Source organism: Homo sapiens, chromosome 16 (assembly GCF_000001405.40).
Source record: "Homo sapiens chromosome 16, GRCh38.p14 Primary Assembly".
NCBI lineage: Eukaryota > Metazoa > Chordata > Mammalia > Primates > Hominidae > Homo > Homo sapiens.
The window spans coordinates 75,441,070-75,466,351 of NC_000016.10; the positions used below are offsets into that span (position 1 = coordinate 75,441,070).

The following is a 25,282-nucleotide window of genomic DNA, read 5'->3' on the forward strand; positions in this document are numbered from 1 at the left end:
TCGTTTTTAATTTTGATGAAGTCCAATTTATCTATTTTTTGTTTATTTTCCCTTGTGCTTTTGGAATTGTATCTAAGAAAGCTTTACCTAAGCCAAGATCATAAAATTTACGCTTATTTTTTTCTAAGAGTTGTAGTTCTTGCGTTTAGGTTTATGATCCATTTAAGCACATTTTTTTTTTTTTTTTGAGATGGAGTTTCGCTCTTGTTGCCCAGGCTGGAGCGCAATAGCGTGATCTCGGCTCACTGCAACCTCTGCTTCCTGGGTTCAAGCGATTCTCCTGCCTCAGCCTCCCAAGTAGCTGGGATTACAGGCATACACCACCACGTGTGGCTAATTTTGTATTTTTAGTATAGACAGGGTTTCTCCATGTTGGTCAGGCTGATCTGGAACTCCTGACCTCAGGTGATCTGCCCGCCTCGGGCTCCCGAAGTGCTGGGATTACAGGCATGAGCCACTGCACCCGGCCTAAGCACACTTTTCTTATGGGAGAGTAATAGAAAAATAGATGTAAAATTTGAACCCAGTATTTGGAAGTTGACCATTCTTGGCGTCATTTACCTTGGACAGCATAAATGGTGTCCTACAGCCACAAATCAGGATGTACCCTTTTGCCCTATCACTGGGGGTGAGTCTGGGGAACAGGAGCCACTGCGTTCTCTGGCAGACACTCCCCAGCACCCATTTCTCCTAGCACTCCATGTGATTGTTCAGATTTACAACTAGAGTTCCTGACCGCTTTAAGGGTAATCAGAGTGGGAATTACTTTCTAATAGTTGAGATGGAAAAAAAATTGGTGGTGAGCAGGCCAAATCCAGCTTAAAATCATGTATTGTAATGACTTAAAAGTGTTTTACGGCAAGGCGCACAATTACAGGTGGCTCGCGGCTGTAATTCCAGCACTTTGGGAAGCCAAGGTGGGCGGACCATTTGAGGTCAGGAGTTCGAGACCATCCTGGCCAACACCGTGAAACCTCGTCTCTACTAAAAATACAAAAATTAGCCAGGTTTGGGGGCGCACATCTGTAATCCCAGCTACTTGGGAGGCTGAGGCAGGAGAATCACTTGAACTTGGGAGGTGAAGATTGCAGTGAGCCAAGATCGCGCCACTATACTCCAGCCTGAGCAACAGAGCGAGACTGTGTCTCTAAATAAATAAATAAATAATAAAAGTGTTTTACGCAAGTTTAAATTAGTTGCTAACACTTAAAAATGGAGAGATTTCAAACAGTAACCTAGATTTCCAGCTTCTCTTGAAAATAAGTATCTGGCAAGATTGGGTTAATCATCGAATAAAGCAGAAACAGGCTGGAGCCAAGCAATAGCTGACTCCTTCGGACAGGGCTCTCCACTTGGCCACAGCACAAATCCCTCCAACTCCCTAAAGATTCCTGGTTCACTGTTCTGTTTTCTCGGTAATAATTTAGGGTGTCCTCCCTGCCGATCTCAGCACCTTTACTCCCAGATACATATACAGTCTTGGGGTCTTCTGTCTGAACTGTGTACGTATCTTTCCGGGGTGCTAGAAACATTCTGTCTCTTGATCTATTAGTCACATTAAGTATATATATATATATATATATATATATGTAAAATTCATTAAGCTATACATTTTAAGATTTGTACACTTTACTGCATGTTAAACCTCAACTTTAGAAAATTAGAAGGAATGAATGGGCAATCTCCTGCCAGACATTCTCTGTATGTGTCTGCAATGGCTGGAACTGCAGCAATCTTGTGACCATGAGGTAAACTACCCAACTTAGTCCCATTTGTTAAAAATGGCAGAACAGTGAGATTTATGATGTCACCAAGGGTATTAAATTAACCAAACACGACGAAGCTTCTCTTCATGTGGACTTACTATTAAAATAATACATTTTCACACACTGTATCAATACTCACCTATTCCTGCACAGAATCAAACAAAAGTTTCTTGATGGGAATATATGGCCCAGCAAGTAGAGTTAATAAGAATTTCAAGTTCACATGTTAAGTACGGTTTAATCACAACTTTGAACAAGAATTTTATCATAAATTAGTAAGAAGTAGAACATAAAAAAAGTTACACATGCTAGATATTAAGTTATTTAAAAAATGAAAACTGAAGTCAATTTTATTACAAAAGATTAAACTCATTAGCCACCAAAAAGAAATATAATTCCAACTCAGAATTGAAAGTAATTTTTTATTGATAAACATTTACACTAGAATTAGAAATGTCAGTAGAAAAATAAAATTTAAATAATTTTCTATTGTACAAAGATTTGATCATTTTGACTGTAGCAGTTAGTGAAATAACATAATATAAAAAGTTAAGCTGATCTGAGTCACAACCAGCCTTATAGAGTGCACAAAAAAGAAATGCAAGTACACGACATTTCTGCATATGGTCTGCTAATGGCACCGATGCTTCACATTCCAGGAAATGGTTACTTAGGGAAGGTTGATATGTGCTGCAGCATAATAGGAACTTAATTCAAACCAGAGCAACCAGAAAGGATACTGGAGGCAAAAGCCAAAATACAATTTAAAATCTTAAAAAAAATAAGGAACGGTTTAAAGGTAATTAATGAACTTTTCCTCACCTAGTGTAAACATTTCATAAGAAGTAATATTTTGTGGTCACAAAAAAAGCACAGATACCTCTTTTAGAATATTCATGATGCTCTTGTGTATGAACTTAAGTTTTCATGAAATGCTTTCACCTCAAAACCCCGTATTCAAGAATCAAGAAGGCCAAGCATGATGGCTCATGTCTATAGTCCCATCACGTTGGGAGGCCGAGGCGGGTGGATCACTTGAAGTCAGGAGTTTGAGACCAGCCTGTCCAACATAATCAAACCCTGTCTCTACTAAAAATACAAAAATTAGCTGGGCCTTGTGGCGGGTGCCAGTAATCCTAGCTACTCAGCGGCCAAGGCAGGACAATCACTTGAACCCAGGAAACGGAGGCTGCAGTGAGCTGAGACCATGCCACTGCACTCCAGCCTTGGAGACAGAGCAAGACTCCATTTCAAAAAAAAAAGAAAAAAAAATCAAGAAATCAGCTTTTATGGTCAGGAGGCTGCCTCCCTCCCTCTCTTGCATTTCTTTTTTTTTAAAAAACAAAGCAGAGGCCGGGTGTGGTGGCTCATGCCTGTAATCCCAGCACTTTGGGAGGTGGAGGCGGGTCAGGAGATTGAGACCATCCTGGCTAACACGGTGAAACCCCGTCTCTACTAAAAATACAAAAAATTAGCTGGGCATGGTGGTGGACGTCCGTAGTCCCAGCTACTCGGGAGGCTGAGGCAGGAGAATGGCGTGAACCCGGGAGGCAGAGCTTGCAGTGAGCCGAGATCATGCCACTGCACTCCAGCCTGGGCGACAGAGCAAGACTCCGTCTCAAAACAAAAAAACCAAAAAACCAAAGCACAGCTGGGGGAGGATATTTCTAAGAAATCAGTTTTTGGCAAAAATTCTCAAAACTATATAAGGTAAAATGTTCAACACAATTGCCAATATTCTTCCATCTGAGTGACCACCCCCAAATAATTCTATATTTGAGACATAAAAAAGAAAATCAAAGCTATTCCTTATGATTCAAATAGTCTTTCCCTGAAAACATTTCAAGCTACACCGCTCAAGCTATTTAAAATCTATATATATATATAGATTTATTCACTGGAGAATACTTCACCTACTGGGATGGATGAAACACTCAGTAATTTGAAGATACCTTTTATACGTTTAGTTTTTTAAAAGAGTAGATAACCAAAATATATCAAACAAGAAACAGAAACAAATACACCTTTCAAAATGCCCTAATTTTAAGTCTTAGCTCCAGTGAAAAATATCTAACATTTTAATCATGTATCAGTACTTCAAAAGTTACTGTTTAAGAGGAGGGGCCCACTAACTACTGGTCTATATGTTTAGTGTATGAAATTACATCCAAAGAATGCTTTAGGCAAGAACTCCTTCAAAAGACATTTTTCAGTAAGAGGCATCCTTCAGTAGAGATGATGGCAATCATTTCCCATAAGAAAAGTTACCAATTCCCCAGATTTCTTAAACTGAAGGGATACTTTTGAAAATCACAGCTCTTTAAACAAAAAACTAGAATTTTTACAATTTGCCTGTGAGAAAGATTTGAGCTTCTTGTTAGGGAATTTGTAAGAATATTTGGCTGCATTACAACTCTACTTATAAGTTTCTGCCCGTGTATATGTCACTATAGTTTTGATAAGTTAATTACCAAAATTAGTAATATTATTTTAAGACAGGGTCTTGCCCTGTGGCCTAAGCTGGAGTTCAGTGGCGTGGTCTCGGCTCACAGCAGCCTGAACCTCCCAGGCACAAGTGATCCTCCCACTTTAGCCTCTTGGGTAGCTGAGGCCACGCCCAGCTAATTTTTTTTTATTTTGTAGTAGAGACAAGGTCTCACTATGTTGCCCAGGCCAGTCTTGAACTCTTGGGCTCAAGCAATCCTCCCACATCGACCTCCCAAAGTGCTGGGATTATAGGTGTGAGCCACTGCGCCCAGCCATAAGTGGTCTAATTAGTCAAAAGAATATGTCCAGTTTTTGTGATCTCTTTGTAATTCTTTTCTATGAGTTTCCCTGGCAAATTGGTCCTCCTGACTTTTTTCTTTTTTTTTTTTTTCCAAATTGGGCAGACTCCAGAATCACAGTAGATTCAGAGACTCTCCTCCTGGCTATTTTTAATCAGAAGCCAGAGTGTGTATTGCTTTAAATGGAATAGATACGTTCATGTGTATATGACCTCATGGGCTGTTAAGCCTTAATCTCACAATGAAAACTTTCCTTTAAAGATGTCAGATTTATGGCCAGGCGCGGTGGCTCACGCCTGTAATCCCAGCACTTTGGGAGGCCGAGGCGGGTGGATCACAAGGTCAGGAGTTCAAGACCAGCCTGGGCAAGATGGTGAAACCTATCTCTACTAAAAATACAAAAATTAGCCGGGCACGGTGGCAGGTGCCTGTAATCCCAGCTACTCAGGAAACTGAGGCAGGAGAATCGCTTGAACCCGGGTGGCAGAGGTTGGAGTGAGCTGAGATTGCACCACTGCACTCCAGCCTGGGCAACACAGTGAGGCTCCGTCTCATTTAAAAGAAAAAAAAAAAAAAAAGTCAGATTTAATCACCAGAAACTATTTTGCAGATAACCACCACCACTACCACCACACTGATTGTATTCCATACAAAACAGTTTAGGTGGAAAGGATCACATTAAATACTTAATTTCTGCGATTCTTTCCCTCTCAAAGAGTCACAGTTTTCAGGCCTTTTAATGAAAAAGAAAGTTAGGCAGTAGAATAAAAATTTAAATAGCTAAAATTAAGTTTTAAAAAAACTCTTGATATTTAAATCTCTTTAAAGATATAAATTCTTTTGAATAAAAATGTAAAGGGGAGAGTGGGTACATATCTGAACATTAAACTTTAGGCACTTTCTGGGAGTTGATACCCAATACTGTAAAAGTGGGCTGAAGAGTTACCACTAGGTAAACACATTAAGCTAAAAAATCAATAACCACTAACTCTAGTTTCAGATGCACTTCTATAGTTTCTCAAGGGTCATTAGTATACCAAAGTCACTAAGAAAAACTATGACAGAATGCCTAAAGTATCTTATGTGTGCCTCAATGTCCAAACAAATCTGGCTTAAAATTTCCAACTCAAGCCATTTAATAGGGTATGTATGTTTCCAATTAAATGAAATAAAATTAAGAGAATTAAAAGTGATAGGGAAAGGTGGTACAGAAAATCTAAAAAGTCTAAATTAGCTAGCTTATTTTGATAAAACATACAAAATAACAAATTCACATCTCTTAAAATATCTTAATCAGAAGTCAAGACAGTTGTCCAGAAAATGTCACATTATTCATTGTTATCTACTTTTTATTTATAAACAGTGGAACCAAAGCCACTACTTGAGTTATACTTAAATTTTTTTTCCTGCTTTATTTCACCAAATTTGTTTTCAAAACTATACTCAACCAAAACCTATTTGGCATTTATTGTCACTAAGATGTAGCAAAGAAAAGAGTTTGCCAAATTTTAATCAAGATTAGATAAGATTTTAATACAACATACTCTGCTCATTTGAAATAAACCAGTATCTTCCACGGTTTCTTCAAAATATGCGACATCTCACAGAATACTGTAAATTTCAGTGCAAAGGATGCCACCCCAGAGACACTGTTGACTTGGCTTGGGTAAAGGTACACATGAAAACTGCTTAAATCAAATATCTACAAAAAAGAAAGCCAAAAGACTTGTTTTGGTTGAGAACAATAGGAGTCCACATAAGTCTTCAATTCTAGGAGCTTCAAAATGAAGAAAAGGCTGAGATGTGTTGTCCTTCATGTTCCTGTTCATCCAAGTTGCTTCCCTTTGAAGAACTAAGAAAACACTACACTCCATAATGTATTCTTTTGGAGGATTCCATAAAGTTTAAGTTCAACATCTCAGCATAAGGATGTATGCTATAGAGTAGCTAAAATCCGTAAAAAGGAGACCACCAAGACGCAAAATGTCTGTCCAGTGCCCAGTGTGAGGGCTTCAAATGGTATCATTTCCTTCCCTGCTGCTCGGTAAACTCCAGCAATAGCTGCACCTGATTTAAAATGCAAGAATGTTAAACAAAAACAAAAAACGAAGGTTAACAAACTCACGAAAATACAACATTTAAAATACTACTGCGAGTAGAATGTTCCAGATTTTATACTGAAATTTAAATCTTACAGAAATGTTAGGTTTTCCCTATTCTTTCTGTGGACTACTCTACACTTTGAGTATTCATTGCATGGCTTGCAAGATCACTTTTAGATGCTGACTCCTTAAAACCCAGAGTCTCCTAGATTTATTGAATAAAATAATCTGGAAGAAATAATCAAAATCACAAAGATAGCAATTCCCACATGACCAGATTATGAACTCAAAAATATCTGTATTCCCCTACCAGTTACCCCATGCCTAGCCTTCAACAGGGACCTAATACATTTTTGGTAACAAATGAAAAAGGATCTTTTGAGTTAGACTAAGCAAGAAATGTTTCAGGCCACAGGGAATCCCCACTCCACCTTCTATCACACTCATAGTTCCCTTCAAGAAATGGACGGAGGAGGGACTAGAGGGGTGAAAAGGGAAGACAGGAGGACTCTAAGCCATAAAGTTGTTATTCATTCACAGGGCATGAGAGGAGAGATACTCAGGGATTCCTTTGTCTCCCAAGTCATTGATTGTTTTTATTACGCTAGTCACTATAATTTCCTGCAAATTGGAAAAACAAAACGAAAACCCCTGTATCTATGCAGATACCCATTTGAGTTACTATACGAGTTCAGCATTATACCAAGGAAGTGTACCAAGAAAGTTAACATTTCATTCGTTTGAAAAGAATAGATCCGGCCGGGCACGGTGGCTCACGCCTGTAATCCCAGCACTTTGGGAGGCCGAGATGGGTGGATCATCTGAGCTCAGGAGTTTGAGACCAGCCTGGGCAACATGGTGAAACCCCATCTCTACTAAAAATACAAAAAATCAGCCAAGTGTGGTGGCACGTGCCTGTAATCCCTACTACTCGGGAGGCTGAGGCAGGAGAGCTGCTTGAACCCAGGAGGTGGAGGTTGTTGTGAGCTCACATCGCGACACTGCACTCAAGCCTGGGCAACAGAACAAGATCCTGTCTCAAAAAAAAAAAGAACCGGCCAAGTACAGTGGCTCAAGCCTATAATCCCATCATTTTGGAAGGCCGAGGCAGGAGGATCGCTTGAGCCCAGGAGTTTGAGACCATCCTGGGTAACATGACCAAACCTTGTCTTTACAAAAAATACAAAAATTAGCTGGGTGTAGTGAACGTGCCTGTAATCCTAGTTGCTTGGGTGGCTGAGGTAGGGGGATCACTTGAGCTAGGGAGGTCAAGGCTGCAGTGAGCTGTGACTATGCCACTGCACTCCAGCCTGGGTGACAGAACAAGACCCTGTTCTCAAATAAAAATAAATAAATAAATAATAAAAATTTTAAAAAGAAAAGAATAGATCCAGATTTCCCAGATGACCCTCCCCACAAAATGCTCCAACAAAATTCTCCTTTGTCATAGTGTGTTCATTCACTCCAATTTTCATCTGCAGAACACTTCTGTGTTTTATAAGGTATGATCGCTATTCTCAAGGTACTTGGAATCTAGCTGGGGACACAAGACAGAAACAGATTTGCAATAATGCAAAATAACATACAGTGTCTCAATCACGTTTACAATTTTTTTTTTTTTTGAGACAGTGTCTCACTCTTTCACCTAGGCTGGAATGCGGTGGCATGATCATGGCTCCCTGCAGCCTCAACCTCCTGGGCTCAAGTGATCCTCCCGAGCAGCTGGGACTACAGGCACACGCCACCACACCTGGCTATTTTATTTATTTATTTTTTGTAGAGACAGGGTCTCACTATGTTGCCAAGGCTGGTTTTGAACTCTTGGACTTAAGCAATCCTCCCAAGCTGGCTTCCCAAAGTGCTGGGATTACAGGCATAAGCCACCATGCCTGGCACATTTCACAAATGTGATGTGAAGGTATATTAACATATTTTAACAAGAAGAAAGAACAATATTAACCAAAGGTTGGCTGCCTTGAACATTTAGTGATTTAAAATGCCCAGCTCCACTGGCAATGCGTACATTTTGTTACTAACATCTGAAAGACATGTTTCATTGGGCCCCTCCAAAATTTAGGTACACAAGAAAGACTGGGTTGGATAGAAAGAAGCTTAAGGAACTTGAACTGGGCCCTAAAGTGGGATTGGGATAATGAAGCGAAGAAAGGAAAAAGTATATCCAAGAGAGCAGCAAATGGAAAGGGAACAGACTATTCATAGAGCCTTAAAGACAGAAATGAATACAACATTTATTCGACAATTACTATGTGTCAGGTATTACATCATATACACATTAGCTCAATCATGCAAGGGTATGAGGTTGGGTAGTATTACCCCTATTTTACTGAGGAACAAACTAAGACAGGCCCTAGCAGCCAGTCATCCTGGGGCAGAGGGTCTCCAAAGCAGCAGTAGGTGATACAGTTAGAACACAGAGAAACTAGGCCACTTTCTCTCAAAAAAAAAAAAAAAAAACACCTCAAGTCAAAGACATAGAGGGCGATTTCTGCTTGATGCTAAGGTTTCAATTCACAGTGAAAAAAAGTTACAAATCAGTAGGAATATTACATTTCTATATTATAAAAATGTATTTATGTTTACATCTATACCTAAAAAAAGAAATACACACCAAGATGTAAACTGTGGCTATTATTTAGGGATGAGAAAATGGAGGATTTTACATTTTAATTACTTAGAATTTTCAGTTTATATAAAATACACATTTATATTTATGCATGAGCTTTGAAATGATTTAAACTTATTGTTCTCATTTCTGTAACTGTTTCTTATCCCATAAGCAAAAGCCATAACAAACCAAACGCCCCAAAAACAAGCCTGAAAATAATTCATAACATCATGTTACTCCAATTCTTATTCAGAAAGTCCTAAGGGGAAAAAAATAACTAGAGCACTAATCGGGTACTTTTCTAAGCAAGAATTCTTTTTTTTTCCCCCGGGTCTTGCTCTGTGGCCCAGGCTGGAGTGCTGTGGTGTGATCACGACTCACTGCAGCCCAGCCTGGACCTCCTGGCTCCAGCAATCCTCCCATTTCAGCCTCCCACGTAGTTGGAACCACAGGTACACACCACCACACTCAGCTAAATTTTTTATTTTTATTTGTAGAGATGGGGTCTTGCTATGTTGCTGAGGCTAGTCTCAATTTCCTAGGCTTCAGCAAGCCTCCCACCTCTGCCTCCCAAAGTGCTGGGATTACAGTCATGAGCCACTACACCTGGCAAAGAATTCTTGTCATCAAAATTTGTCTTCTATCTTTACAGCAACCACACCCACATGAGTGGAAGTAATTCACCAACCATCTTGCAGGGCCAATGCTCAAGTGATAGCTGATCAGAGAGGAGAAGTAGCTTCCAAAAAGATAAATTTTCCTCTTGCTGGTGGCCTCTCTCACGAGATATATCTCACAAAGTTTAACATGACTTCCCTGAAGCCACTGAGATGAAATCTGACTCAAGAAGTCAAAGAGGTTAGCCAAGTAATAGGACCTTGGGGGTGGAAAAAAAAAATCAATACATTAAAAAAACTGGGCCAGGCACAGTGGCTCACGCCTGTAATCCCAGCATTTTGGGAGGCCAAGGTGGGCAGATTGCTTGAGCTCAGGAGTTCGAGACCCGGGCAACATGACGAAACCCTGTCTCTACAAAAAATACAAAAAAAATTAGCGGGGCATGGTGGCACACCCCTGTAGTCCAAGCTTCTTGGGAGGCTGATGGAGGAGGATTACTTGAGCCCAAGAGGTGGAGGCTGCAGTGAGCCAATATTGCAACCACTGCACTCCGGCCTTGGTGACATAGGGAGACCCTGTCTGGACTTGCAGTTAAAAGGCACTCTTTCCTTCATCCTACTCAGATATGTTTTCTAGAATAGGTCCTGAAATTGACTAGTCATATTAAACATTTTTGACTGGTATTTTAATGTCTAACATACTTGTCAAGATTCCAGCAGTAATTGGTCCCACGATGCCCATCAACAGGATGCTTACAGACATGAACCTACCATATTTGTGATGTCTGAGGGTGAAGAGGGCCAGTAATCCAGCAGGGACATGAAAGAAGAGAGAAGACACCAGTGCCCACAGGAATACACCATACCACATCTCTATGAGGGAAGACAAAGAAAAGTTGTGAATCACTGCCCTTCCCAGGACAATCATTGCAGAGGGTACTCATCATACCCGTCATTTCATTTTCAACACCGTTTCTTTTTTCCTTTTTTTTGAAAAATTTTTATTATTTTTAATTTTTTTTTGAGACGGAGTCTCGCTCTGTCACCCAGGCTGGAGTACAGTGGCGTGATCTCGGCTCACTGCAAGCTCTGCCTCCTGGGTTCACACGATTCTCCTGCCTCAGCCTCCCGAGTAGCTGGGACTACAGGCACCCGCCACCGCGCCTGGCTAATTTTTTGTATTTTTAGTAGAGACGGGGTTTCACCATGTTAACCAGGATGGTCTCGATCTCCTGACCTCATGATCCGCCCGCCTCGGCCTCCCAAGTGCTGGGATTACAGGCGTGAGCCACCGCGCCCAGTCAAAAATTTTTATTTTTAAAGACGGGGTCTCACTCCGTCACCCAGGCTGCAGTGCAATGGCACCATCATGGCTCACTGCAGCCTTGACCTCCTAGGTCTGGGTGTTCTCCCGCCTCAGCCTCCGGAGTGGCTGGAACTACAGATGTGTGCTACCACGCCTGGCAAAATTCTTTTTTTTTTAATTTTCTTTTTTTATGAGACAGGGTCTCACTACTCTGTTGCCCAGGATGGAGTGCAGTGGGAGTTTCGCCAGGCTGGTCTCAAACTCCCAACCTCAGGTGATCTGCCCGCCTTGGCCTCCCAAAGTGCTAGGATAACAGGCATGAGCCACTGCGCTTGGCCTGTATTTTCTTTAGAGATGGGGTCTCACCGTGTTGCCCAGGCTGGTCTTGAATGCCTCGGCTCAAACAATCCGCCCAACTTGGCCTCCTAAAGGGCAGGGATTACAGGTGTGAGGCCACCGCACCCGGCCTTCAACATCATTTACTTGCAAAGTAGGGTTCATCAGTCAAATATCCAAATATTGACGGTTTTAGTGTGTTCAACAAATTACTGCCTACAGACCCACCACCTGTTTTTTACACACTTATCTGAACCCATTCATAATACTTTTATACATACACACTTATCTGAAACCATTTACAAGAGTTTTGCACACACATACTTATTCAACCCATGCCCTTTCATTTAAGTATTGTTTATGGCTGCCTTCCAGCTTCAAGGGCAAAGCTGATAACAGTGACACAGACCACATGACCCATAAAGCCTAACATATTTACTATCTGGCCCTTCACAGAAAAAGCTGACCAATCTCTGTACCCTCAAACTGAAAAAAAAGGTTCATCTAGATTTCAAAATTGACCTAAATAATGTCCCCGACCATAACTGGGCACGGCAGCTCACGACTGTAATCCCAACACTTCAGGTGGCCAAGGTGGGCAGGTCGCTTGAGCCCAGGAGTTTGAGACTAGCTTGGGCAATACAGCGAAACCCTGTCTCTACAAAAAATACAAAAATTAGCCTGGCATGGTATTGCATACCTGTAGTCCTAGCTACTCGAGAGGCTGAGGTGGGAGGATTGCTTGAGCCTGGGAGGCAGAGGTTGCAGTAAGTCAAGATCATGCTACTGCACTCCTGCCTGGGCAACAGGGTGAGACGGTCTCAAAAAACTCCCCCAAAAACCAAAAAACCCAAACAAAAATAATTCCCCCATAAGAGGCACAAGCCAAAGAGCCAATTGATACGGTACTATGCAATCAATGCCTGTTGATCTTTCCTGACCTTTTGATCACTCAGTCTTCTAAAATGGACAGCTATACAATTATATTCATTCCACAATCATTTGAAAGACAATGCAGTAAATATCAAGCCATCACCTCCTATTAGGATTTCAAAGCTCTTTAGGATATGAAATAAATACCAGAAAATATAAATGTTTGGCTTGAAGACAAATGGCAGGTAAACAACAGTGCAGGTTAGGAGAGCTGGCTCCTACAGAACTCTAATCACTCTTAAGGTGTCTGTAACTCAGGCAACATTAAGATACATATAATCATCAACTATGTATGAAAAACTATGCATGAGGCACCCATATAAAGAAAACAAAACCATCCTGCTGGAATGTGACTTTACAATTTGTTAAATGGCCCATGTAGCATTTCCCCCCAGTGAACCCAAGGCAAGGCCTTAGAATCCTCAAGGTAGCTCTCCAGCTACCCACAGGGAGGGACTGGCGGTGACACATTAGATAAAACCCACTGTCCATCCTTGGCTAGAGGCAGGTAAGTAGCAAGTGATTTTTGAGATCAGTGAAGAGCTTAGCTCAGCAGGGTTTCTTGACCACCGCCCTCCGCCCTATTGACATTTGGACCAGATAACTTTTCATTGTGGGGGCTGCACTGTGCACTGCAGGATATGGAGAGGCACCTCTGGCCTGCAGCACTCTATTCCCAGTTGTGTCAACCAAAAATATTTCCAGACATTGTCAAATGTCCCCAAGGGGGCAAAACTACCCTGATTAAAAACCACGGGCTTTACCAAAGCACAGAGGCTTTATAAGAGCCATGATGGCCGGGCGTGGTAGCTCACACCTGTAATCCCACCACTTTGGGAGGTCGAGGTGGGCTAATCACGAGGTCAGGAGTTCAAGACCAGCCTGGCCAACATAGTGAAACCCTGTCTCTCTAAAAATACACACACATACACACACACACAAAATTAGCCGGGCATGGTGGCAGGCACCTGTAGTCCCAGCTACTTGGGAGGCTGAGGCAGGAGAATCGCTTGAACCCAGGAGGCAGAGGTTGCAGTGAGCTCAGATCACACCACTGCACTCCAGCCTGGGAGACAGAATGACACTCCGTCTCAAAAAAATAAAAGAGCAATGACAGTTAAAGCTATAAAGACAGATGAGGGAAACCCTTTGGGGAATTTGACACCAGACTAAGGACTTCACAAAAGATCTAAAGTGCCAGTATAGGTTTTGAGCAGTAACGGTTGTCATGACATTATTCCACAGGCCCCACCTGACACTCCTAGTTGGAATACAAACTGGAAAACCACCTTTTTGCAGGGTAATTTGGAAGTCAAATGTGCATGGCCCTTGCTGCAACAATTTTACTTCCGGGGATACACCCCACAGAAAAGCATAGGTAGGCAAGGACAGAGGTAACAAGAAGGTCCCAACAGCATTGTCCATAATATCAAAAACTAGAAGTCACCTGCATGGCTATCACTGCAGAATTTGGAAAACACATTCTGTGCACCCACGTAATACTACAAAGTCCCATTAAAATATGCAATAGATGGGCTGGGCACAGTGGCTCACGCCTGTAATCCCAGCACTCTGGGAGGCTGAGGCAGGCAGATCACGAGGTCAGAAGATTGAGACCATCCTGGCTAACACGGTAAAACCCCGTCTCTACTAAAAATACAAAGAATTAGCTGGGCAAGGCAGCGGGCACCTGTAGTCCCAGCTACTTGGGAGGCTGAGGCAGGAGAATAGTGTGAACTCGGGAGGCGGAGCTTGCAGTGAGCCGAGATCACGCCACTGCACTCCAGCCTGGGTGACAGAGCGAGACACTGTCTCAAAAAAAAAAAAAAAAATGCAATAGATGTATATATACTGAAGGGGCAAGATGCCCAAGCCACATTGTGAAGTAACAAAAGCCAGTTGCATGTAGAATAAGATCCTGTTTTTGAGAAAACAAACACAATAAACACTCATGTGGAAATGCTTCTATGTACTGAGCATGTTTATTTAATAAATAATTATTAGATAGGCCAGGCATGGTGCTCGTGCCTGTAATCCCACCACTTGAAGCCAGGAGTTGAAGACCAGCCTAGCCAACATGGTGAAACACTGTCTCTCCTAAAAATACGTAAAAATTAGCCGGGCGTGGTGGCAAATGCCTGTAATCCCAGCTACTCAGGAGGCTGAAGCCCGAGAATCGCTTGAACCCAGGAGGCAGAGGTCGCAATGAGCCGAGGGCAAGAGAGCTAGACTTTAAAAAGAAAAACAAGGTAAGAAAAAACAAAGCTTTTGTTTTCACAAGAACTGCTCAGGAAGAATGAGCTTATTGGGATAAACAATTTAAAAGAGACCAGTCAGGGGCATCAATCCGCTTGAGGGGATTAGAAAGGGGGAGGAGAGGAGGACCAGAAGCTTTACTGAAGCTGTATTAGCACTGTAAGCACACTGTTAGTGTGTGTGTTTTTTCCCCCAGATCAATGAAAACCACAGTTTTATGAAGGTATTTTTATTCCCTTTACACAGGCTTCTTAATCTTGTTGAGAAGCTGGATTTAAGGGGCTATTGGAGATAGGGGTGGAGCCAAATCCCCTTAACCCACCCTTGACATTGTCACAGATGACTGCTCAAATTCTTTGCCCATTTTGAGTTAATAAAGCTTCAATTCAGAGCATATTCTGAACACTTCCAGTGAGAGTGCTCAGGTCTTGTTTTGGATAAATGGTTCTCGGTGAAAACATCAAGGATGCCCCAATTAGGTCTCAATGCTTATTAAAAATAACAAATGAGGCCGGGCACAGTGGGTCACATCTGTAATACCAGCACTTTGGAGGCTGAGGCGGGTGGATCATCTGAGGTTAGGAGTTCCAGAACAGCCAGGCCAACACGGCGAAACCGTCTCGACCAAAAAATATAAAAATTAGCTAGGTGGGGTGGCGCAAGCCTGTAATCCTGGCGACTCAGGAGTCTTCCTCCACCAATGAAAAAAGTCAGCCTTAGTCAATAGTGTCAATCAGAAATTGAGGGCAGGATTCTTGGTCCTCAGGGTTTCAGCCCCCACCTCTTCCACAACAAACCCATATCCTCCTGCAGTTTCTCTTCTAGCCGCCATTAGGCCAGGAGCTATTCCTGCCTTTCGCTGCCCAGAGACGCACCCTCCCTGGCTGGCAGCAACTCCAGAGGGAGCAGTGCCTGCATCTGGATACTGCTCCTCCCTAACAAATGTGCACCTGCCAGAGCTCTGGTGCCCACACAAATCTCTCCTGCCTGGGCAGCTACTGTGGCCCCTGGATCAGTCAAGAGTGGCCTGGCCTCCCAGCTGAGGCCCCCTGTCCACCACCCACCGCCAGCTCATCCCCAAGCCCCCACACAGCACCATGCTTCTCTTCCAAAGCAGAAAGACCATCTTCTATCCCGAGTCCTCACGTGCCACTCCCAAATCAATCTGATCCTGACTACCCCAACACCTAGTCTACAGAAAATTCTATGATGGCATCAGGAATTCACTGGTCCAAAGTGGACAAATGGGATGCAAACCTGCCTCCAAGAACTCAGAACAATCTTCACCTGGCTGCTGTCTGCCCCATACTGACCTGAGATCAGCCCTGGGTCCCTGCTATCCAGGGCTTCTGCTGGAGCTGCCAGAGTTTTAGAGAGAAGCTCTGCTTTCTGCAGTAACTCAAGGCACTGCTGGAGCCTGGCTTCCTACCAGCTGCCACAGAACCACTGAGGCCTTGAACTGGGAGGCAAAGCCTTAATATCCCAGAAACACACGAAGCTGGTAATTTCCAGGAAAGCAGGTTGGAACACAGGTATGCCATCCAAGTGCTAAGGGCTGAATTATGTGCCCCTACTATTCCTGTGTTAAACCCTACAGGACTGTGGTCTTAGGAGAGGAAGAGATTCTCAATCTCTTGATACCTCTCTCTCTCTGCCATGTGAAGACATGGTGAGAAGGCAGCCATCTGCAAGTCAGGAAGAGGGTCTTCACCAGAACCCAACCATCCTGGCACCCTAATCCCAGCCTTCCAGCCTCCAGAACTGAGGAGATAATGTCTGTTATTTAAGACAGCTAGTCTGTGGTATTTTGTTATGGCGGCCCATGCTGAGACAAAAATGTCACCCATCCCCACTTCCCTAGGAGCACAGCCCCTGCCCCAGGAGGCCTGCTAAGTCACCAACCCACATCTCAATTTTCCAAAAAGCTTAAAGGCCAATTTGTAAACAGCGTCCGGCATACACAGCAGGCCAACACCTCTCTGAGGTTCTGAGAAAGGGAGGAGGCACACCGCACCCCCTACAACCCTGAGCCACATCCATTAGCTCCTTCACTATGTATTTTATATAGCATCACTAAAGTCATTTCAAGTAGGAAAAAAAGGTTTATTATAGATGAGTAGAGGAGTACAGCTTATAAAACACTTTCACATGAGGTTATTACAGGACTCTAAATAGCAAAGGCAAACCTGAATCTAAAACGCTTTTTAAAAAACTAAGTGATTTCCCTTTAATCTACTGCACCTTAATTTGCCATCTATTTAATAGCTATTTATCGATTGTCATACAGTACTTTTCATTTCGCTGGCTCAAAACTCTCTCAAATCTTTGTCTACATATCTTACAGTATTTATTTGTTCACTGCTTTAAAGCAAGTATATTACTTCGGCTTTGTTTACTTTGGCAGCTAAAGGCACATCATCTCCCTATGGTGAAGGTAAATCAGGTAATTAATCTGTAATACAATATGATATTGGAAAATGAGATTAAGCATTGTGGTAGAATGGGCTCCCAAAGGTGTTCGCATCTCCATCTCCAAAACCTGTGAACAGATTAACCCACATGGGAAAAGGGACATTGTGGTGACTAAAGTAAGGATCTTCCAAAAGGAGATTGTCTTGGATTTTCCAGTTAGGTCTAATGTAATCACAGGGTCTTTGTAAGACCAAGGTAGGAGATAAGAGTCAGAGAGATTTGAAGATGTTATGCCGCTGGCTATGAAGAAGAAGAGCAGGCCAAGCATCAGGGAATGTACGTGGCCTCTAAATGCTGGAAAAGGCAAGCAAAGTTCTTATTACAAGCTCCAGAAGGAACACAGCCCTGCTAAACCTTGGTTTTAGCCCACACACACCCAATTTGGACTTCTGACCTTCATAACTGTAAGACAATAAAATCTGTATGGCTTTAAGCTGCTAAATTTGTGGAATTAATTACAGTAGCAATAGCAGTCATAAAAACACTAAAAAGTTAATCACTGATCAATCAAATAAATATACATTGATCTCATTCTATATGCTGACATATCAGTAAAAAGACTAAGATCCCTACCCTAAAAGATATTTGAGGATTTCCTTGAGGATATATTTTTACAGAGACATATCTTTTTTTTTCTTTTTTTTGAGACAGTCTCACTCTGTTGCCCAGGCTGGAGTGCAGCGGCGTGATCTCGACTCACTGCAACCTCTGCCTCCTGGGTTCAAGCAATTATTCTGCCTCAGCCTCCCAAGTAGCTAGGACTACAGGTGCATGCCACCACGCCCAGGTAATTTTTGTATTTTTAGTAGAGATGGGGTTTCACCATATTGGCCAGGCTGGTCTCGAACTCCTGACCTCAGGTGATCCACCCGCCTTGGCCTCCCAAAGTGCTGGGATTACAGGCATGAGCCACTGTGCCCAGCCTAGACAGACATATCTTTAAGATACATATTCAGAGAGATACTGCAGTGAAAGAACAGACACAGAGAGCAGAATCCTCTAGTGGATTCTGTATTAACAAAAGCGGTCTATAATGGCTGGCTCCCTGGCCTCTAACCTCCACAGCAGAGTCACCTAACTCCCAACCAAGGCCTCATGACCAACCTGGCCCCAAATGGCAGCAATGCAAACAACCTGAGCCAAGTGGGCAGCATGAGGCTCAGTACTCAGCCCTCCTTCCAGCTGGCCCCACTCTCATCTTGTGTTTCAGTGAACAACTGGGTCAACACAGCCAGTTCCTCTGAAGCTGGGGTTCTAAGCAGACCACATGAGTCCTCCTGGGGATTAACACTCTTATGTAGTCTTGGCAGGGCGTGGTGGCTGACACCTGTAATCCCAGCACTTTAGGAGGCCGAGGTAGGAGGATCACCTGAGGTCAGGAGTTCAAGACCAGCCTGGCCAACACAGTGAAACCCCATCTCTACTAAAACTACAAAATTTAGCCGGGTTTGGTGGTGTCTGCCTCTAATCCCAGCTACTCAGGAGGCTGAGGCAGGAGAATCACTTGATCCTGCGAGGCAGAGGTTGCAGTGAGCCAAGATCACACCATTGCACTCCAGCCTGGGGGACAGAGCGAAACTCCATCTCAAAAAAAAAAAAAGTCTTACGTAGTCCTGCAACTCCATGCTGAAGTTGGGCTATCTTGATACTAATCACCCATCAGCCTGCAGCCCTGCACCCTCTCTTGCCAAACCCCACCTCCTGGCCTGGAGGTCCAACTGTCCTCTCTACTCCTCCCTAACAAGATGATGTGCCCACTGAACTACCAACTGTAGTCAACCACCTCTCTCTGGATACTGCCTGCCTGCTCCTCCCTGGTTCCTGGGTGTGCCCCTGGCCTGCCTCACCTCAGTGGTCTCTGCATCCTAGCCTGACCAGACCTTGTCTGTCCTGATGGGGCCTTCCATCTACTCTCCATGCAAAGCCGGTAAGTTTCTTAAGTTTCTTCTTTGTACAAAGAACGTTTCTTCTCAGGATGATGCAAATATTCTCAAATTAATTGTGATAGTTGTATAACTCTGTAAATATACTAAAAACCACTGGATTGTACACTTTTTTAAAAAGTCAGAATCATCCCATCTCTGTTCAAAATTCCCCAGTAGAGCCCTCCAGGATCTACCCTCCCCTCCTCCTCTGTGCGTTGCCGACACAGTCCCTCCAGGCACCCTGGGCTCCTCAGTGTTTCTTCTGCAAGCTCCTGTTTCAGGGCCTCTGAATCTGCTGCTCCCTGGCCTAGAACACATGCTCTTCCCCAAGTAGCTGTTGGCTCATTACTCACTTTCTTCAGATTTTGACTCCAATATCATCACCATCCAGGGCCTCCCCATCACTTTACAGCAAACAGCAATCCACCCCCACCACACAGGCCCTGCCCCTTCCCAGGCCCCTCACCACCAGCTGTTTTGTTTTTCTCTCTCCCCATTGGAATGAAAGTTCCACGTGGGAAGGGGCTTTGCTTTGTTACTATGGCATCTTGACTTGGTGCCTAGAAAACAACAGGCACACAATCAACACTGAGCAAATATTTTTTGAGTGAATGAATAAATGACTGGTCCAAGTGTGACCAGTCTTGATTCCTGCAAGGATGACACAAAAACATTACTGGGTTTTTAATTATCACTAGATCTAATTTGACACTGATTTAGTGAAATCTGTATCTTCTGAAGATGAATGTCATTCTTGATACAAGATAAAGATCTCAGTTTCTTGGTTTTGAGGTTTGTTAAAAATGACAACAATAAAGGAAAAAATTTTAAACTGCATTTGCAGTTTAGCCATTTACTTATACTCATTTATTTATTTTTGAGACAGTCTCGCTCTGTGGCCCAGGCTGGAGTGCAGTGGCATGATGTCAGCTCACTGCAACCTCCCCCTCCCAGGTTCAAGCGATTCTCCTGCCTCAGCCTCCCGAGTAGCTGGAATTACAGGCATGCACCACCACGCCCCGCAAATTTTTGTATTTTTAGTAGAGATGGGGTGTCACCACGTTGGCCAGGCTAGTCTTGAACTCCTGACCTTAGATGATCCGCCCGCTTCGGCCTCCCAAAGTGCTGGGATTACAGGCGTGAGCCACGGCAACCGGCCAATTTAGTCATTTAGATGTCTACCTAACCCTCCGTAGGTAAATGGCTAAACTGCAAATACAGGTAATAAAGAAAAAATCAATTCAGTACTTCCTGGTATACATAAATATGTCAGAATACTTCAGAACAATGATTCTGCCATAATGAGTTGGCATACACTGCAAGTAACCTTTTCTGTGGGGCCAAAATATCAATACAACAGATTCAGGACAATGAATGCAACTCCTGTTAAGCAGATTTTGGTGTCTCAAATAGGATATAACTTCATGTATTTATTACACCCATTATTCCTGCCAAAGATGAGACACAGCAGGGAGGTTATGTGTTTACTACCAAATTCTGATCTACTTGGGGTCAAGGGCTATGCCTCATACCTGCTCATAACACCAGACCAGAGTTGGCACTTGGCCAAATGTATACTTACTGAATAAACGATCTCTGGTAATCGACATCACAAGTTACATACCCATAACAGTAATCATAAACTCAAGAACATACTGAAGTTTAATATTTTCAGAAAAAAGTTCTGAAAGTAAAACAATTCACATGGCTACAGATTACCTACTGTGATGTATTAAACCTATCCCAAATCCACTTATCTCAATCTTTTCTTAATGAAAGGGAACTAAAAGCCAGAGACTCAACAGACTATTCAGTTCCAACTTATGACCCTACATATGACGTTTAATTAACAGAGGATGCAGGAACCCTTACAGTAGAGAGTTCTGATAGACATCATCTTCACCAAATGATCAAACTTGGTAGTAAAGAGAGGATGCAGATACCCTTACAGTAGAGTTTTCATAGACACCATCTTCACCAAATGATCAAACTTAGTATTATCAATGAAGATACAAATTGACATTCAATGTCTCTTTTTTTGTTGAGACAAAGCCTCGCTCTGTCACCCAGGCTAAAGTGCAGTGGCGCAATCTTGGCTCACTGCAACCTCTGCCTCCTGGGTTCAAGAGATTCTCGTGCCTCAGCCTCCCCAGTAGCTGGGATTACAGGCACACACCACTACGCCTGACTTTTTAGTAGAGACAAGGTTTTGCCATGTTGGCCAGGCTGGTCTTGAACTCCTGACTTCAGGTGATACGCCTGCCTCAGCCTCCCAAAGTGCTGGGATTACAGGTGTGAGCCACTGAGCCAGGCTGACATTCAGTGTCTCTTGATGTGATGTACTGGTGAGTGGACGTCACCTAGGTAGGTAGCGTTCTGACCAAAAATGTTTAATCTAAATCTAATCATGAAGACCATCTAATGAACCTAGATTGTAAAACAGTCTATACAACAATTCACATGGACTCTTCCAAAATGTCCATCTTAAAAAATTCAAACAAGGAAGTAACTGTTTTAGCTAAATGAAACTAAAGAGACGGACAACTTAATGCAATGTGTGAACCTTAGATCATGGAATATATATATTTTTTTAAGGAAAAAAATCTATGTGGACAATTGGGGAAATGTAAACAAGGCCCACACATTAGGTAACATTATTCTATGATGTTCAGTTTCTTGGATGTGATATGGTTTCATGGATAGAAAATGGTTTTTAGAAGATACATGTTAAGATTATCAGGCATCAAGCAAGTGTTATGACTTCTGCAACTTCCTATTGAATGACTCGAGTTGAAATGGGACATGTGACCTACATCTAAGTGTGATACGTATGTAATACATGTGGTTATATATATAGAGAGAGAGAAAGAGAGCAGAGAGAGAGAAAGAGAAACAGAAAGCCAAAGAATCAAAATATTACTGAGTCTAAGTAAAGGGTACATGGGTATTTGTTATACTGTTCTCTCAACTGTTTGGCAGGCTTGACATTTTTCAGGAAAGGGGAAAATTAAGGAAACAAAGATTAATCTGGTCCCAGTAGTGCCTCCAGATTGCACGAACATTTCATGTATCACACAGGGTCACCAGAATACCATCAATTTTTTGATATCACTGTCAAAAGTGATCCTAGCACCTTCTGAAATAACGTGAGCTGCCAGATTCTCATTTCAGGAATGACCACAAGCGAACATCTGCATCTGACCCCAACCTGCCTGATGACCTTACCCGCTACTTCACAATCCCGTCCGGGAAAATCCCTGGGCACATAACACTGCAAGTCCCAGGTGTCCGCTGAACGGCGCCTGGCAGTCGCTGCCCAGGGGATGAGAAATCACAGGTGCCTTGTTTGGAACTAGAGTCTGGAATCTCGTCCTCCTTCCCTCTGCTCTGGTCCCTCATTGTTTATGAAGACCTCAGTCCCCTCTGCTGGGAGCCCCACCTCCCCTTCCAGGGCCACGGGCTCTAGTCTTCTTGCCTTTCAAGGACCACACAAATAACTGTGCCTCCCCTCAAAGCTTTTCTCCTCCTTCCCAAGTGAAGTCCTCTCTCCTCCCTCCAGCTTTCAGGGCACGGAGCGCTCTTCCTGGCATTAGAATTCTGAGCAACCCTCCTAGCAGGCCCAGCTCAAGCCGCAGCGGGGAGGAAGAGTTCAAAGGAAGCTGTGCCAAAGATCTCGAAGGCTTAGTGGGAGACCCAGCAACAGGTGGCACCAGGTCTGGGAAAGATTCCTAGAAAGCGGAGCGGGTCTCGGAGGGGGAGGATTTAGCCCCAGGCGCCCGCGATCAGCGAACGAGCGCCTGCGCGGAGGGGCCGGGCTGCAGCCCCGGGGCAAGGGGAGCGCGAGCTCTGACTCCTCAGCGCGGCCGGGCCGCTCCGAGACCCCTCGAAGGAGGCCGGGCGCCGTGGGGCAACCCAGGCAGGGCGGGGACCACAGCCTCCCGGGCTCGTGGGGTGCAGCTCTGAACCTGAGGCGCTCGGAAGCTCAAGGCCAAGACCCGCTCGGGTGGCGGCCGAGCGCCCTCCAGCCCCGGGCCCACCTGCGGCCGCTCTCTGCATCTCACGCCCAGCGGGACTCCGGGGCTCCGCCTCAGGGACCGCCGAAGAAGTGATGGGGAAAGGGGCTCCGGGCGAGCAGCACGGCCCCCCTCCCGGAGGACAGCGCCCACGCCGCCAGCAGGCTGCGCACCCGGGACCCCGCCCAGACTCGGGGCGCCCACAGCACGGCAGCGGCGACGGCGGGGCGCGCAGTGCGCAGGCGCGGGGCGGGCCGTACCTGGGAAGGAGCAGAGGGAAGTAGAGTTGGGGCACAGGGTCCCGTTGCCCACCCGCGGCACAACCTTCAGGCTCAGGATCTGCTGCAGGAGCCCGGCCGACCCGCCGCTGCCGCCGCTCCCCTCGCGCTCCATCCCGTCGCCATTCACCACAGAGAAATGAGGGACGAGCGCCCGAAGTGCGGTAGCGGCCGGCGCCGACTCACCCTCGCCGCCTCAGCGTCACCTCCAGCCGGGGTCCTCTTCCCCCAATCCCAACGGCGCTGCCAAGTGACCGTTGCCTCCTCCAATCACAAGGCGCCGCAGCGCTCGGGCGCAGGGCCAGGGTTGTTCCCGCCCCCAACGTTGCGCAGGGCTCGCAGAGACACAGCCCCACGGACGCGCCCCCTCCTGGACGGCGCGCTCTGGGACCGCGCGCTCTGCTCTGCCCTTCTCTGCAGCGCCCCCTGTGAGAAAGTAGGGAATTGCATGCGCCCCAACAGAGCCGCGCTATGGAGTTACCAGGGATCTGGAAAAATACAGTGATGGAACGGATATGTAAAGTTCTAGTTATGACTGGACTCCAGCATTTATGAAACCTTCATGAACAGAACAAGAACGTTCTCTATTTAAAGCTGATAGTAGAAAGAGCCCATGCAAAGTCTGGTGTGGGACCAGAATGGGAGGGAGGCTATGTAGCCTCTATAGAGCTCGACTTAGTTTTAAATAAAATAAAATGTACAGAGATTCGGTTCAGAGCAATAAAATTAGATCACACTTTTTTCTTTTTTTTGAGACGGAGTCTCCCTCTGTGACCCAGGCTGGAGTGCGGCCGCGCGATCTCTGCTCACTGCAAGCTCTGCCTCCCGGGTTCACACCATTCTCCTGCCTCAGCCTCCCGAGTAGCTGGGACTACAGGCGCCCGCCACCACGCCCGGCTAATTTTTTGTATTTTTAGTAGAGGCGGGATTTCATCGTGTTAGCCAGGATGGTCTCGATTTCCTGTCCTCGTGGATCACACATTTTTGTCTCACCTCCCTTCAGAAAGCCTGTTAAAATGAAGGCAGAGAAATCGTAAAAAGGAATAAGCTAATGTTCAGTTTGTTTGCACTGCTGTAACAAAGTACCTGAGAGTGGGCAATTTATTAAGAACAGAAATTTATTTTCTCACAGTTCTGGAAGCTGGGAGGTCCAAGATCAAGGTCGCAGCAGGTTCCATGTCTAAGGACGGCCCGTTCCTCACTGATAGCACCGCCCGGGCGTCCTCACACGGTAACAAAGGGAGCCCACTCTCCAAATCCCTTTTATAAGGGTCCTAATCCCATAACGGGGGCTCCACTCTTCTGACTTAATCGTCTCCTAAAGGCCCCTCCTCTCAGTACTATCGCATTCCCACGAAGTTTCAGGACATGAATTTGGGGGAACACGTTCAGACCATAGCAGCCATTAACAATAGTGTTCTGGAAGGGAAGTTACCAAGGATAAGTAATGTCCACAAGGTTCCAGGTGATGAAGAGGCTTGTGACGAATAATAATGTTTTTGTTTGGTTGGTTGGTTTGTTTTGAGACAGAGTCTCACTTTGTTGCCCAGGCTGGAGTGCAGTGGCGAAATCTCAGCTCACCGCAACCTCCGCCTCCCTGGTTCAAGCGATTCTCCTGCCTCAGCCTCCCCAGTAGCTGGGATTCCAGGCGCGTGCCACCAGGCCCAGCTAATTTTTGTATTTTGAGTAGAGATAGGGTTTTGCCATGTTATCCATGTTGGTCTCGTTCCTGACCTCAAGCGATCCACCTGCCTTGGCCTCCCAAAGTGCTGGGATTACAGGCGTGAGCCACTGCACCTGACTGGTAAATTTTTTTTTTTTTTTTTTTTTTTTTTTTTTTTTTTTGAGACGCAGTCTTTTTCTGTC

At 44.5% G+C, this 25,282-nt stretch overlaps 1 protein-coding gene across 10 annotated transcripts, besides 5 other annotated features; it reads right to left on the reverse strand.

Annotated features, from left to right (window-relative positions):
• Nucleotides 1–1,984: 1,984 nt before the first annotated feature.
• Nucleotides 1,985–23,668, reverse strand: TMEM170A (transmembrane protein 170A). 10 transcript variants are annotated; one of them, XM_017022940.2, is made up of 4 exons: nt 23,163–23,374; nt 22,351–22,437; nt 10,669–10,770; nt 1,985–6,619 (listed from the first exon to the last, which is right to left on the reverse strand). In XM_017022940.2, the coding sequence occupies exons 1-4, from the start codon at nt 23,179–23,181 to the stop codon at nt 6,489–6,491; spliced, it is 339 nt and encodes a 112-aa protein (XP_016878429.1). In that variant the 5' UTR covers nt 23,182–23,374; the 3' UTR covers nt 1,985–6,488. The 10 variants fall into 10 exon arrangements, with proteins under 10 accessions (XP_016878429.1, XP_011521171.1, XP_016878430.1 ...); XM_011522869.3 differs by having other exon boundaries at nt 10,600–10,770; XM_017022941.2 differs by lacking the exons at nt 22,351–22,437; nt 23,163–23,374 and adding an exon at nt 23,603–23,668 and having other exon boundaries at nt 10,600–10,770.
• Nucleotides 15,386–15,887: an enhancer, noted in NCBI's record as "H3K4me1 hESC enhancer chr16:75490353-75490854 (GRCh37/hg19 assembly coordinates)". NCBI's record gives its function as "activates a minimal SCP1, AML or CMV promoter by ChIP-STARR-seq in naive H9 embryonic stem cells {active_cell/tissue: H9 hESC(naive)}" and the evidence as "EXISTENCE:reporter gene assay evidence [ECO:0000049][PMID:30033119]".
• Nucleotides 22,051–22,100: an enhancer, noted in NCBI's record as "active region_11131". NCBI's record gives its function as "activates an Ori minimal core promoter by ATAC-STARR-seq in GM12878 lymphoblastoid cells {active_cell/tissue: GM12878}" and the evidence as "EXISTENCE:reporter gene assay evidence [ECO:0000049][PMID:35858748]".
• Nucleotides 22,967–23,596: a silencer, noted in NCBI's record as "silent region_7720". NCBI's record gives its function as "represses an Ori minimal core promoter by ATAC-STARR-seq in GM12878 lymphoblastoid cells {active_cell/tissue: GM12878}" and the evidence as "EXISTENCE:reporter gene assay evidence [ECO:0000049][PMID:35858748]".
• Nucleotides 22,967–23,790: a biological region, named in NCBI's record as "H3K27ac hESC enhancer GRCh37_chr16:75498257-75498757".
• Nucleotides 23,290–23,790: an enhancer, noted in NCBI's record as "H3K27ac hESC enhancer chr16:75498257-75498757 (GRCh37/hg19 assembly coordinates)". NCBI's record gives its function as "activates a minimal SCP1, AML or CMV promoter by ChIP-STARR-seq in primed H9 embryonic stem cells {active_cell/tissue: H9 hESC(primed)}" and the evidence as "EXISTENCE:reporter gene assay evidence [ECO:0000049][PMID:30033119]".

Excerpts from the sequence above, each read along its gene's own strand:
- TMEM170A (NM_145254.3), bottom strand. The coding sequence starts at position 23,531 with ATGGAGCGCGAGGGGAGCGGCGGCAGCGGCGGGTCGGCCGGGCTCCTG. Across the intron at positions 10,771-23,398 it reads TTCCCTCTGCTCCTTCCCAG|AGATGTGGTATGGTGTATTC; the intron begins GTACGGCCCGCC and ends CTTCCCTCATAG. Across the intron at positions 6,620-10,599 it reads TACTGCTGGAATCTTGACAA|GTGCAGCTATTGCTGGAGTT; the intron begins GTATGTTAGACA and ends ATTTTAAATCAG.